The sequence below is a fragment of the Homo sapiens genome, chromosome 3 (assembly GCF_000001405.40).
Source record: "Homo sapiens chromosome 3, GRCh38.p14 Primary Assembly".
NCBI lineage: Eukaryota > Metazoa > Chordata > Mammalia > Primates > Hominidae > Homo > Homo sapiens.
Genome location: NC_000003.12, coordinates 131,916,682 through 131,931,388, shown reverse-complemented (window position 1 = coordinate 131,931,388; position 14,707 = coordinate 131,916,682). Strand labels below are relative to the sequence as shown.

The window sequence follows — 14,707 nt, the reverse complement described above, 5'->3', positions numbered from 1 at the left end:
TGTTGCTGGTGAAAATGAGATTAATCTTCGCCTTCCTGAGAAGACCTCAGCTGTTTCTTCACTTTTTAATAAAATGGGTTTACCAATTTTGTCTTCAGTGAAATAGTTTTCATTTCCTGTCTTGAAACATGTTTGCAGTATTTGTATGCTGAGGTTGAATTTTGTTTAGTGGTAGTTGAGTTTCAAGAGCAATATTGCAAAAGATCCTGCCAGTCTAATCGGGAGAGCAAGTTTTGTTGGCTATACTTCCTACCATAACGGAAACTTCCCTGACTGAAATTGATGGGGAATGAGTAAATGTAAGTTGTCTTTGCTAAAATATCAGGTAGTGATATTTCCTGTATGAAGTATTGACCTATGCATTAATTAGAAATATTTCTGATCAACACCCTTACCATCCTGTAAGGGTGAGCTCATTCTTTCTCACTTTGCAAAAGTTCATTTGTCTTATCTCATAGCACCTTATGAGAGGCGCAGGCATGTGAAGAGAGGTAGAAATTTTGAAAGTACCTGTTTCTGAAACTCCTATAGTTATAGGAATCAGGTGTGAGAGCTCCCCACTATTCAATAAGTCCTTTGCTACTTAAGGGAAAGAAGCCCTAAAGGGTGGCAGCATTTTTCTTTAAGCTCCCATATGTGAGGGCCCAAAGAGAACCACATATAATTGGGAACTTTTCAACTGAGTCTGTTCCAACTGAAACAAGGAAGGGAGTTACTATTCACTGAGCAATTACTATGTGGCAGACACTGTACTAAGCGCTTAATAGGATTACCAAATTACAGGACTCCAGGAAGCATCACTCACATTGCACTTGGTATAAAATGTACCAAGGACAGTTGTGCAATTAGATATTCTCACATTTATTATCACAATTATACATCTGTCCCATAGATACCCACACCAATAAATGAGTCCTTTGGCTTCCAGTTTTTGTTTTTTTTAAATTGGAAATCCAACTAGAAGATTGGAAGAAAGAATGAGGTCAGGGTGTACGTTCCCCTGCCCCTTTCTCTGCAAGGTCACCCTGAGCTGGTTATATTACTGATCTTCTCAAGGTAGCCTCTTCTATATGACCCTTTTCCTCTGGGCTCTGTCTCCTTCTATTTTCCCTTTGTACATATGGGTTACTGCAATGTCCCTTGATGGTCTGCTGTATCACACTCATCCTAATTTCGGTGTGCCATCTATTTCCTATGAGGACCTTGACTCAACAGGATGAATGCTTTCTGATTAGAAAGTTAAGGCACTTTCCACTACCTCTTGTTAACAACCATTGGAAAGTGCCAATACTTTAACATGACTATCTATTGAATTAAATGAAGTCACTCGCTGCTGGCAAGACCTCCAGGGGATGCATCTTAAGTTCCTACTTGTAAAATCTCCACAGTACATTTGTAATAGCACTTGCAGACAAGAGGACCTGTCCTGCATGTGGATCTTATACATGGTGCTCAAGTGATTGCCCATTGATACACAATAGAATAGTACTTCCTATGAAAAGTGTTCTCTGCTCCCAGAATCTTGTCAGGCAGCCAATACCACCAATGCAGATTCATTCAATAGCAGTAAGGCTTTGCATCTCCAGGAGAGCTCCTTTAAAGATTAAAAACCCCTGACAGGGGTACTCACTTTTGACAGAATGGATAATTAGTTGGTGAGCTTTCCAAAAATAGAGGTAGGCAGAAAAGAATGGGACACAGAAGGGGGTGAATTTTGATAAGGGAGGGAGAATGTGCGAAAGAACAGCATTTGGGGCTTTGCTGAAGGGGCAGATCCTTGCAGATCTGTGAGGGATTTCCCTTGGAGGCCAAGGGCACTGTCTAACAGAGGCCCTGTGAAGACATGGAGAAGGGGCAGAAATCAGACGTGAGACTGCTGATTTTTTATGTATTTCCCAACAAAAGAGAAGCCCAAAGCAGACAGATTTTTATGAGTGAGTCTCAAACTGGAGGGGGTCCCCAAGAAGGAATAAGAAGGGTGAAAAAGTTTTGGAGGGGATGTACCAAAGATCATTCAAATCCTGGTCTTTACCTGGGATCTCTAGTCCCTAGTGGGCTTAGTGTTTGTAATAAGGTGGTATCTGTTCTACTTATCTGGCATGAATGAATGAGCAGCAAGTAAGTGCTGCCACCAAATGATTGGTGTTTTCTAACACAGGATCTGAAAATCTTTTTTTTTTTTTTTTTTTTTTGGTGAGGACAAGTTGGGGACTGATGATTGATGAAGAAAGGAGAAGAGGAGAAGATGACAGGATACATAAAATTTAAACCTCACTGAACTGAGAAATCTTAACCAGCCCAGAAGCAGGGACATTTCTCTCTTTTCAAGGCCTCCTTGATGGAGAGGGGACCTTGATCTAGAAATCAGAGTGGCTTCTTTGCAACTGTAGTTTAAAAGACTATCTAGATCTGCTTTTCCTCAGCTATTCCTAGGACTAGCCCTCTCTACAGGACACCATCCAGAGCCTCCTCACTTATGGTAAATATCAGAAGCCAGGCTTCAATGCAGAAGCAGCCAGCTGCTGCTCATTCCCTTCCATTTTTCATGTCCCGACAAAGGTGTCAGGGAAACAAAAGCTTCTCAAATGGCAGCTTCCCCTAGCACATGCCTGGAGGCCTGACACCCTCCCATCTATACCAGTCTTGCCTGGCTGGGGTGTGGACAGCACAGTGGTCACTTCAGGATGTTTGCTCTAACAAGCATGGCCAAGTATAGGCATAGACAGGACACAGTTCTGTTTCCTTGTGGTGATCACACCTCAGGCACATTCACTTGAATACAGCGTCAGGTCTGGAGGTAGAGTTGGGAATGGTTTTTAAGGCTAGTCACTGCCAGGATGTTGTTGCTTTTTCAGGTTCCTGTTTGTAACAGATGGGTGATTTGCACTATTGAATGGCAAAGAAAAAAAGGCATTGGGGGTCACTGGCTTGAAAGGCTTGCTCCTTTGAATAGATTTGGGCTGCTTTCACGATAAAATTCCCTTAAAATTTTTATAGCCAAGTAGATTTAAAGCAGGAATTACAAAGCTTTTGTGTTAAATACAATCCTAATCATATCTGCATTTTTTTTAAGAAAAGAGGACTGTTGTAAATTTTAGATAACCTGTACTGTAATTCATGGATATGGTATACATTAATTATGGTATAATTAATACATGCTTATTCTGGATTTTGAACAGCGATATCATATAAGAACTCATGTTTACACATTTTGCTTAATGCTTTAAAACATAATCCTTCCTGTTTCTCTGATATAAAAGTAATATATGCATGTTCATTAAAAACCTAGAAAACTTTATTTACAACTTAGAAAATACCAAAATTCGCAATGCTAAAAATTAAAATCACCTATAATCCCATGACTGTGAAAGAAATTAACATTAACATTGTGGTGTATTTTTCTCTAGGCTTTTATCTCATGCATACATCCAATTTTCTTTAGCGGTTTTCATATATACAGTTAATGACATCAATAATGCAAATAGAAAAAATATCAAAACTACTTTTCTTGCCTATTTCTAAGGTTGTCCTTGAATGAGTGTTCTCTCAAGCATGATCCAGCTACTTCTATGTCCTGCTACAAAGACAAAGCCAGAAAACCATGGTGGCGATGAGGGAAGTAGAGACAGGCAGAGAAAAAAATGAAACTCTGGTTAAAACTAAGAACAGAGGATAAACTGTCCTGCTGAATGTATTTGGATAATTGTTTTACACAGGGGACAAAAAGATTATTTCTTTGATTGATTGATTAATTCATCAGTTAACAAAAATTGATTGGCTTCTTAATTTGAGCCAAGCACTGAACTTGGCAATGGGGTAAAAATACAAAAAAGGTATACCCTTGACCTCCAAGAGCACCCAGTCTGGAGTAGGATCAGATAAATAACTCTGCAATGACATGAGATGTCATGACAGTAGTAATTGAGCCACATGAGTGAGTGAAAGACAAGTATTTGTAGTGGTAGGAAGGAAAGAAACATGGAGATGTGATGGGAGAAGGGCTCTGTGTGCTATATTAGGGAGTTTGCTCTTAATCATGAAAGTGCCTGGGATCCACTGAAAGATTAGAGAGGGATGTTAAATGATAACTTTTGTATTTTAGCCAACACAGTTGGAAACACACAAGACTTTGATGACAGACAGATGCATGACTCTCTGAAAAGCAAAACAAAACCAACCAAAAAACAAACGAGAAAACAAAAAAGATTCTTTGAATCTTAATTTACCCATCCGTAAAATAGGAATGATGATGACTATTTGCAAGGTTGTTATGAATATTAAATAAGATAGTAAATTATAAATAAAAGTCACTGAAACTTAATAGGTGGTCAGTAAATGGCACTAGCTATTGTTAGTTGCAAGGCATGCAAGGTCCTTTAGGCCAGCTTGTTCTGTCTTGCTCCTTCCTCTCTCCCACACCCTAATTCTATAACTCAATTCTGTACCCCTCTCTTATTACCCCATCCTCAGACCCCTACTCCTTCGCCCAAGCTGTTCCATCTCTCCAGTGGGCTTTTTATCTTTCTATTGCCTGCTTTAAAACTACAACCCATCCTTCAAGACTTGACTCAAATAGTCACCTTTCTCTAGGGTATTAAAGGAATTTTGGAGACAGAAGAGAAATGGAACATTTCTCACTCAAAATTGGGAGACTGAGTTTAAAAGGGTGGGATTATCAGTCTCTGACATTTTGCTTAGTGAGGTTTGCAGGTACCAACTTTAAAATAATTCATTCCCACTTAAAATAGCTGAACATCAAAGTGTGCTCCTCTGTTGGAAAGTCCACGGATTGGTAACTGACTCAGGGATATAAGTTTTCATTTCTGGGTTCATCTCCTCCTTCCCCTTCTCAAGAAACTTTTCTTGTTTTACTGACATTTTTATTCTCCTATATCCTCCTATATCTCCACATGTTTCTTTTCATTATAATTGTTTTCGTATTTCATGTTGTTCATATCTTTATTTTCAAATTTATTTGTTACAAGGATTATTATTTTTCATCTTAAATTCTTAGTGTGTCGGTTCTAGTAATTCCGCTTCGATCAACAAATGTTTATTGTTGAATTGTCTTTGTTTTTTTACAATGCTTGTCACAGGCTAACTCAGAAGGAAGACAGCAAAGACAGTTAAAAGTTTCTCTCCATCCCAGTTTTTCACTGCCAGCATTCCATCACCTTGGGGTTTCTCACAATTTTTTTGTTAACCCCTCTGACTCACACCTGCCTCTTCTTTCTCTAAATTCTCCATGGTTAATTCTATCAGAGAGAGCCCAACAGCTCATGCTAGTTGGCCATCTTATTACTTACCTTTAAAAATTACACTTTGTTTTATTTAACTTGTGTATAGTAAGTTTAAATTGTGTGTGTATGTGTTGTGTGTTTGTTTCTATTAGTCTCTTTATTCCATCTGCAGAGAAGAAAGAATCAATTGTGTTTCTGACTTTCTCACTCTCCTGTCCAGGAAGGTGGAAAATATGTCTCATGTCCCTAGGTTCCCTGAAATTCTCAATAAATGCAGGATAATATGGTGACTAGTCACCAAAAGTCAGAATGCCTATGTTTATTTCTCAAGTGTTCATTTGATGTGTAGCCCTGGGGAGGCTGCCCAGTCAGAAACTTAATACTTTCTAGATTAGGAGTGTCTTAGTGCATCCTACAGAGGGTTGATGCAAGAATTCGAGGCATTTACACATGTATGTATTTTAGAATAGTGTTGGCCACATCATAAGAATACATTGATGTATTTTCTCTTCTTTCTCTTCCTATTTTTTTCTCCCCTATCCCCAAACCAAATTTTGTCATTCAGGCAGAAGGGTACAAATCTTTTTTCTTTCTCCAAGGAGAATCTTTTGAGCACAATGGTAAGTTTATTTTTTTATGTTGTGTACTAGTTGATGGAAATTCACAGATGGAAAGATGGAGGGCCTATACCCTCATGGAGGTTATGGTTTTGTGGAGAAAGCAGGCAAAAGTTACTTGATGAATTTGATCAAATGACCTAACTGTGCTGACATCACGGTGATCCCAGGGTGTTAGGAGAGCATTGAGGTGGGACAGCCAACTCAGCCTAGGAATGACTCTGGGCGGCTCTGGCTCCTTGGCCACCCAGATGTTTGAGCTGAAATGTGGTATGTTGTGTGGGTTTGTGTGTGTGTAGAGTGCAAGGGGGAAGAGAAGGGCATCCAAAGCAAAAGGAAAGTACAAAATTATGAGAGAGAGAGAGAGAGAGAGAATATGAGAACAAGAGAGAGAGAATCAGAGAGAGAGAGAGACTTTTAGCAATCTCAAAATGACGAGAGGAAGGAATCCACAGGTTTTGAGAGTGAAACTTCTTTATGAAGATGAATTCACAGAAAAATTCAATGTGAAGAGAAAAATCTTGCAATCAGTGCTTGTGCCTGAAAAACAGGATCTGTCCTGACTTAAGCTGTGCTTCAAGGTTGCTACTAACAAGGTTACAGTACCATTTGGAAAAACCAAAGAAGAGGTGGGAGCTGAAGGAGAACAGAGAGCATGTTGCATTTGTGATCCTGCTGTTTGAGCCCCAGGGACATATAAGTCACCAAGTCATTCCATCAGCTGGTTGATAACACTCACGTTTACACTGATTAGTTTAGGGGTTTAATTTCCTTTATAGCCAAAAAGTATAGTTTATGTCACCATTGTTTCTATTACATCCTTTCTAGGGACTGAAAATACTATTACTGGTCTAGACACACCTCTATACTAGTGGTTTTCAAATTTTGATGCATATTAGAATAGCCTAAGGAATTTTTAAAAATATCAACATTCAAGCCTTACTCTATTTAAATTAGAATATCTGAGATAAAACACAGGTGCCAGCATTTTTTTTAAAAGATCTCCAAGTGATTCCTGGGTGCAGCAAAGTTTTGGAACCACTGCTATACACATTTCAAGATAATTTAGTATTTTCTTTACATTCTAGATCCTTTCACTCTCCTGTTTGGTAATTTTTGTGATTTACATTAAATCATTTCTATGATGATGTCTATGATATTTGGTGAAGTGCTTGAGCTAAGTTCACGGCTGAATTGAGTGGTATGACTCAGTTTCTGCTTCTCTTGCCTTATCCCTCCCACTCCTTCTTCACTGATAAGGTTGGAAGTTGGGATGGGGGATGAAGATGAATACCTATCCAGGGAAGGAAACAAATAAGGACTTAGCAGCTGTAAGGGAGACAAGATATGTCATGTGGCTATCGTTAGCTATACTTCTGATGAGAAGAGTACAGGACTTTTGTTCTTTCACTGTCCTTGATGAGTCCCCAGGGGACACGTAATGTCTGGAAGACCCTGCAAGTAGCCACTATCACAAGGTGAACCACTGACCAAAATCTCTCTTGAGTCTCCTGTTCTGTTGAATTAAGCTGGGCCACGTAAGAGTCAGGAGGGTCCCTTTGGTCTTTTGGATTCAGAGAAGAATAAGGCAGCCACTGGCCCCTTGGTCCCTTTAGTCTCTCATTCTGGGTCTTACTTTTGGTGGAGAGAGGAGGATTAGAAAGAAAACCTTGGGGTGGTATGGGAGTCATTTTACTTAGGGCCTGGGGCTTAGCTGACATGAGCCACTAGCCCACATGAGGCATCTTTTACCCCAGACCCCTCTTTGGTTCTGTTGGATTTTTTTTTCTATTTTTTTTTAATTTTTTTTTTTTTTTTTTTTTTTTTGAGACGGAGTCTAGCTCTGTCACCCAGGCTGGAATGCAGTGGCATAATCTCGGCTCACTGCAGCCTCCACCTCTCAGGCTCAAGTGATTCTCCTGCCTTGGCCTCCCAAGTAGGTGGTACTATAGGCATGCATCACCATGCCCAGCTAATTTTTGTATTTTTAGTAGAGACAGGATTTCACCATATTGGCCAGGCTGGTCTCAAACTCCTGACCTCAAGTGACCCACCCACCTTGGCCTCCCAAAGTGCTGGAAATACAGGCGTGAGCCACTGCGCCCAGCCAGTTCTGTTGGATTTTCTGCACATCCCCTGCCTCTCACAGGCCTTATAGTCCCTGCTCCACATTCTCAGAACTAGTGAGATCTCTCTGCACAGTGCAAGAGTCCTGAGGGAGCAGATAGAATGTTTGGTGACAATATTTTATACATACATACACACAAACACACATTTTTGCCTCTGTTTCTTTGGTAATACTATCAGCACAAAAGAGGACTACGATAAAGCAAAAGTTATTTGTAGCAGGCTTTTTCATTGAACTAAACTCTGACTTTCAAGTAAAAATAAAGTTAATTCATTTTTAAACCTCCCATGAGCTAATTTCTTTACAGAACTTGCCAAAGAGTCCCACATGTTCAATGAACTGGTCCAACTTATAATTAAACCTATTTGTTTTAAAGGTTTTGGCCCAAACCAAAATATACAAACAACTTTTAACATGAACCATTTTAATTTACAGTCTTGATCTATAATAATTATTTATCTTTAAATCATAGTTCTTTCAAATTATCTGAGCTTTAAGTGTGGGCACTTGGGCATTTGCTATTAATATATTCTAGACCACAGGACAGGAGACATAGAAACAGACATAACACTTTTAGAGGATACACTATATTTGTTATTATGCTTGCTTCTTTTATGTCTATTCTCTCCTCTAATTCTCACAATAGTCTTGGGAGGTAGCTATTACTATCTTTCTTTTTAGAATAAGAAAACAGAGGAACAGAGAAGTTATGTCACAACTAGAGAATGTTTAACAAATTAATGCCCGTGAATTTCCAAAGCACTTTCAACCATATGTTATGTAGCACCCAAATGATACTCATCCATTTGAGCATCTCATGCCCTCCAGATGCAGCATGCTGTTTCCATGTTTTCACCATTCTTTGATAACTGGTCATACAGATGGGCATTTCCTGTCTTCTTTTCTTAGCCTCTCCAAATTTAGATCAGGCTCTTGGCTTTAGCTTAAGACCTGTCTCTCTTAGTTTATGGATGAGGTAGTGATGATTCTGTGTAAAGCCACTAAACCAGTTCTGGCATGAAGAAGGCTGCTTGTGTTCTTCACAATAGCGAAGGCATGGAATCAACCTAGGTGCCCATCAACAGCGGATTGGATAAAGAAAGTGTGGTACATATACACCATGGAATACTACACAGCCATATAAAAGAACAAAATCATATCCTTTGTAGCAACATGAATGCAGCTGGAGGCCATTATCCTGAGTGAATTAATGTAGGAACAGAAAACCTTATACCACATGTTCTCACTTGTAAATGGAAGGTAAACACTGGGTACTCATGTACGTAAAGATGGCAACAATAGAAACTGGAGACTACTAGTTGGGGGCAAGGGTTGAATAACTGACTATTAAGTACTATGCTCAGAATGTGGGTGGGTGATGAGATCCATCACACTCCGAACCTTAGCATCATACAATATGCCCCGGTAACAGACCTGCACATGTGCCCCCTGAATCTAAAATAAAAGTTGAAATTATATCAAAAAGAGCCTGCTTGATAAATATTACCTCTCTTCTCTCTTCTCTCTAGTTTGGACCAAAGCATGTCTATCTTCTCTGGGCTTTGTGATCACTGACTTGGTCTTTGCTAATTACTTTGACGATTCATCATGTATCTACTTGCAGAACTCTCTTTTATATTAACCCTAGTAACATAATGATTGTTTAGCACTTACTCTATGCTCTATATCTGCATTGTTGCTCACTGAATCCTCACAACAGTGCTAAGGTGAATCCTGTTATTAGTTCTATTCTGCAGATGAGGAAACCAAAGTACACCTTGCCTATCATTATGGTTAGTAAACCATGGAGGTAGAAAATGAACTCAGGATATCTGATTAAAAAAGCCTATACATTTACATATCATACTCTAGTTCCTTCCTTGAATAAATATTTCATGTACTTGATCACTCTGAAAGTTTTTCAAAGGCAGTGACCACGTTTTGTTATTTCAGAGCTCCTCATGGCACACGATCAAGTATTGGGCATATGGTAGGCGCTAGGTAATCAATAAGTTGAATTTTAGGGGTCTTAGGGATAAAGAGAGAGTATCTATGACTATGAACATCTCTTTCCAGTTATCTGTGAAACTTATTTGCTACTTGGACTGTTCACCTCCAGTGAAATAGACAAACACTAAGACTGGAGTCTGAGAGACCTGAGAGTTAAAGAACGTACTCTGGTGTTCTAATCCAGTTGGTGGTGGAAGTAGGAATAGTTTGGTGCTTTTTGCCCAGAAGTGACATCATTTCTTCTTGGGGGAAGTGAGTTTCTGAGATGCAGAGGCAAAGTTGTCACTCTTGTCACCCACCCTTTGGTGCCACCCAGTAAGTGTCAACTGTGTGGGAGCAATGTTGTCAGCCCATCAGGTGTGGACAGGAGGCCTTTGTTCTGCTCAACAGCTTAACTTCTGGTTATGCCATACCACTGTAAGGATACCAGACCATCAGACATCTTCTTTAGCTTCAGCCATTTACCATGTAAATCTGTCTTTGAGGCAGTATCAGTGACAAGCTCAATTTGCGGAGAGGGAGGAAGGAGAATCGAGGAGCAGTGCCCTTCTAGATGAAATGCTTGGAGTCTTACACCCATGAACATTTGGTTCTGAGATTTGACAAACAAATGATGAACATTTGTTTCAGAACATTTGGTTCTGAGATGACACCATAGATCATATTTGTTATATTTCTAGGTCAACTGACATTTTAAGGGCCTAGTTCCTGGTTCCGGAGATTTTTTTTCTTATCAGCATCTGAAGCCACTGATTTTTTTTTTTGTATTTAAAATGTTTTTATTATAGAAAATTTCAAAATAATAACCACTGACTTTAAAATACCCCCACACCCAAGATATCTGTCATCAGTTGATTTAGGAGGCTCCACTTCCAGTCTGTCCTGCCTTGAATATTTGTCAAACAGTCCTTGATCCTTAGCCACTAGGACTTTGCAGACATGTAAACTAATAGCTATAGCATGTAAGTGATAATTAGTGTGAGAGAAAGCTAAACCAGAACTGTAGGAACACAAATTAAGGAGTGACTAACAAAGGTAAGGGGGAGGTCGTGAAAATTTTGTCAAGGGATTAAAATTGGGCCAGGAAGAGAAATAAACGAGTAAAAATGTTTTCATGTTAATAAATCTACATATAATTCCATAGGCCTTCTAGGACTTGAAAGTACGAGAAGGAAAATGAGAATAGAGCAATTTACAGTGTCTGGAGAATAGTGGGCCTGATCAATAAAGGTAGGAAAAATCAGTGATTCTAGGCTAAGAAATGTAGGCTTTGGCCTGCAGCATTTATGAATCCACAGAAGGATGTTGGGCAGCGGAGTGACCTGATCAGATTTGAGTTTAACAATTTGCCAAACATCCCTAAGCAACTCACACCTGCTGACTGCAATGAGGAATAAATTACAATGGATCCAGGCTGGGGAGAATGAGAGAAGTGACTCTGACTCATTTGAGGTTTGTTTCCTTAGCTTTTGCCTTATCTCTATTACTGCTTTCTTTTAATTAAATTTTGTCTATTTTAAAAAATTCATATATTCACTGATTCACTTGCTTATTATAGTTTTCTTTATAAGTATCACCTAGTTCGATGTTAAAGATAATCTAAAAGGGTGTTGGTCCTTTAGTAAGAGAATTTTACCTCTTCATGATCAATAACATATTATATAGGTTGACGCTATTTCTGCCACCTATTATTTACTTTTTAAGTAAAATTTTATCTGAGTACAACAAACATACAGAATAGTGCACACATTGTAAATATACAGCTGGGTGAATTTTACAAAGCAAACCCTCCTAAATCAAGATGTAGTTTATTTCTGCACTCCAGAAGCCTTCTTGTATCCCTCCCATCATTGCATTCACAAAAGGTAACCATTGTTCTGCCTTTATCATTTGGCCTGGTTTTCAACTTCACAAAATTGGGATCATACAGCATGTACTGTTTTGTATTTAGCCTATTTTGTTTAACATTATGTCTAGATTTATCCATATTGGCACGTGTATCAAACTGTCCTCCATTTTCATTGCTATATGGCATTCCATCTTATGAATTGACCACGATCTAGTTATTCCCCATCCTTTTCTTAGGCTGCATGTTGCTGTTGTTATTTCTAATTTACTCATTCAGGATTGGAAAGAAATCTATCCAGCTGGCATTTACCAGTGGACAGATTAAGTGGAGTCTCATCAATCCTCTTCACTATTCACTTAGTGCTAGCATTTGCTACTTCTCAGTTGACTATCTGAAGGTCACCTTGATATACCTGACTTAAGTTGCTGAATCCAGCAGGCATTTATTTAGAGTAGACCTTCCAGGCTAGAGCTGGAACTCTGACTTAACCACAAGCTCAGCACCCAGTGTAGTACATGAAAGACAGCACCTCCTACACTGCACTGTTTCCTGGGCATTCTCACTTCGGCTCCCTACAACACTTTTCATAGTAAATAAAATATTCCCAAATGCAATATGCCTCTACCTGTTATTCTTTAGCCTCTAGCATTTTAAAAATGCTTTTTCTTCTCTGTTAATCATTTGTCTTCTAATGTGTTTCATGTGTCTTCTAATGTGTTTTTGTGATTAAATAATTTTGGGAAATATTATACACCATATCTCCTTTTTGGAGATTCACAGTGCAAATTAACATAGTAATGGCTCTAAAATGTCCTGTTACAAAAAAACTGTTTTATGTTATAAAGTCTACCATTGTTCCTTTTAAGATTATCTATTAGCACCTCATAGAATAACAGTTCCCTAGCACACAGCTCTGTAGAAAACAGCCAGAGGAAACTCCACGTGTGGTTTTTTTTGCTTATTTGTTATTTGTTTTTTCCTTTCCGGTATGATTGTCAGCTTCTGAGTCTGTCTATGGCTATTTTAATGGAAATATGGCAGAGAACAAGCAAACTTAATCTTTTCTAAATATTTGTTTGCCTGTTCATTTCTCCATCAGCCTGGAAACTCCATGAAGATAGAAACCTTGTCTTTTCATCTTTGTATCTGCCAGTACCTACCATGGTTCTCAGCACATACTCGAAGTATTAAATAAATATTTTGTGTCTAAATGAGCGTGATATCACATTCTGGGACTTCCAGCATTAAGGGACTCAAACTGAACTGTAAAATGAACCTAGATCTTGAGGTATGTAAGGGGAGGAAGAATAACATTATACACAAAATCCTGCACTTTTGAGTTTAAAAAATCTGACTGAATTCTGCTTCCTCCATTTTTGGGTTGTGCAATCTAGCAATTTATTTAGATTTTCTGAATCTCAATTTTCTCATTTGTAAAATGGAAACAATATCAACAGCTACCTTCCATAACTCTTGAAAGGATTAAATTTGATCGTATTATGGGAAGCACTGGGACAGACACATAATTACCCAAAAATGCTTGTCCATGAGTATTACTCTTGCCTGTGAGTATTCTACATCTGGTGCTTGTTTCTCTGGTCTCTCTCTACCCACCCTGGGAACTGCATGTTTTCTTGTACTGGAGTTCTTTTCACATTCAGTGAGAACTAGAAATCCACAGAATTCTCAGCTGCCATACACAAGGCATCTGCCAGATTTCCTACTCATCTGATAATGTCTTCCACAGTCTTGCCCTGGTCCACTGACTTGATCAATTCAGCCAATGTTCCCTTCTGCAGCAAGAGGCCCTCTGAAGTTTCTCTGTGCTAGTGGAGAGATCTTGTGTCTTTCTTTTTCTATCTATTCCTGTCAAACTCCTTCAGTGAATATGCATTTCTCACATTGTTATGTGAAAGCAACCCCACCTGGTATTCAGACTGAAGAAGTCTCACTATTAAAGAGTGAGAGAGAGAGAGAGAGAGAGCAAGAACATATGAATTTGGTGTGTGTCTGTGTATGAATGTTGACATGCCGACACCACTCCTTCCATGTCTGTAGTGGCTTTCCTCCTCCCCAAAGCATCACTCAAATGTCTGTGATAGCTGGTCATGAGTCTGATTGCAGCGACAAACACGATGTATCTTCCAACATGTCCTCCCTTTCAAACATCCCTCTCTTCAACTTCAAAAACACTCGGCTCACATGCTACATCTTCCTAAATTCTAGTCTCTTCTTTGTTTTCATCCATAGCAACACTAGCGAGGTCATTTACCACAAAGCTTATGTCATCCCACTTGGAAACTTTTAGCAGAAACATGATTACACATTGGACATAAAGGTACTGCCACGTTAGAAAGAAATTCTGAGGAGAGCTTTGCTCCAATATTGTCCCCAAGGTCTTTCCTCATGAGTTGCCACTTCACTCCTCCATGCATGTGGATTGCAGACATTGCTAGTGAATCATGCTATTCATTCTCATCCTGTCTCCACAAGTAAGATGGGCAGTCACCACCAATCAACAGGCACTGGCAGATGATGAAAAGCCTAGCAGCTAAACTTGAGCCTGTTAAGTCTTTTGAGCACTTCCGCATCCAGTCTCCACCAAATAGGGCAATGACAGACTTATCTTATAAAAGAGTCCTGTTTTCATGAGTTGCTTTGTTCTTTAGAAAAAACAAAGAAAACAAACAGTAGTTCAGTATGTCCAGTGCATGTCACTAGCCACAAGTTGCTATTTCAATTTAAATTAAAAAAGTTAATTAAAAATATATCTCCTCAATTGCCCTAGCCACAGTTCAAGTGCTTAATAGACACGTGTTACTAGTAGCCGCTGTATTGTCCATCACCAATACAGAATGTTTCC

General features: G+C 39.0%; 1 protein-coding gene across 8 annotated transcripts in view; it reads left to right on the top strand.

Moving 5' to 3' along the window:
* Positions 1 to 14,707, top strand: part of CPNE4 (copine 4) — a 506,038-nt gene that overhangs the window by 108,218 nt on the left and 383,113 nt on the right. Inside the window, exon 1 of one of the 8 annotated variants that reach the window (XM_024453339.2) lies at positions 11,984 to 11,990. The exons of the other annotated variants lie outside the window; for them this stretch is intronic. The gene's annotated coding sequence lies outside the window, so the exon portion shown is untranslated. Of the gene's footprint in view, positions 1 to 11,983; positions 11,991 to 14,707 lie in introns of those variants that run through there. 8 annotated transcript variants of the gene reach the window in all.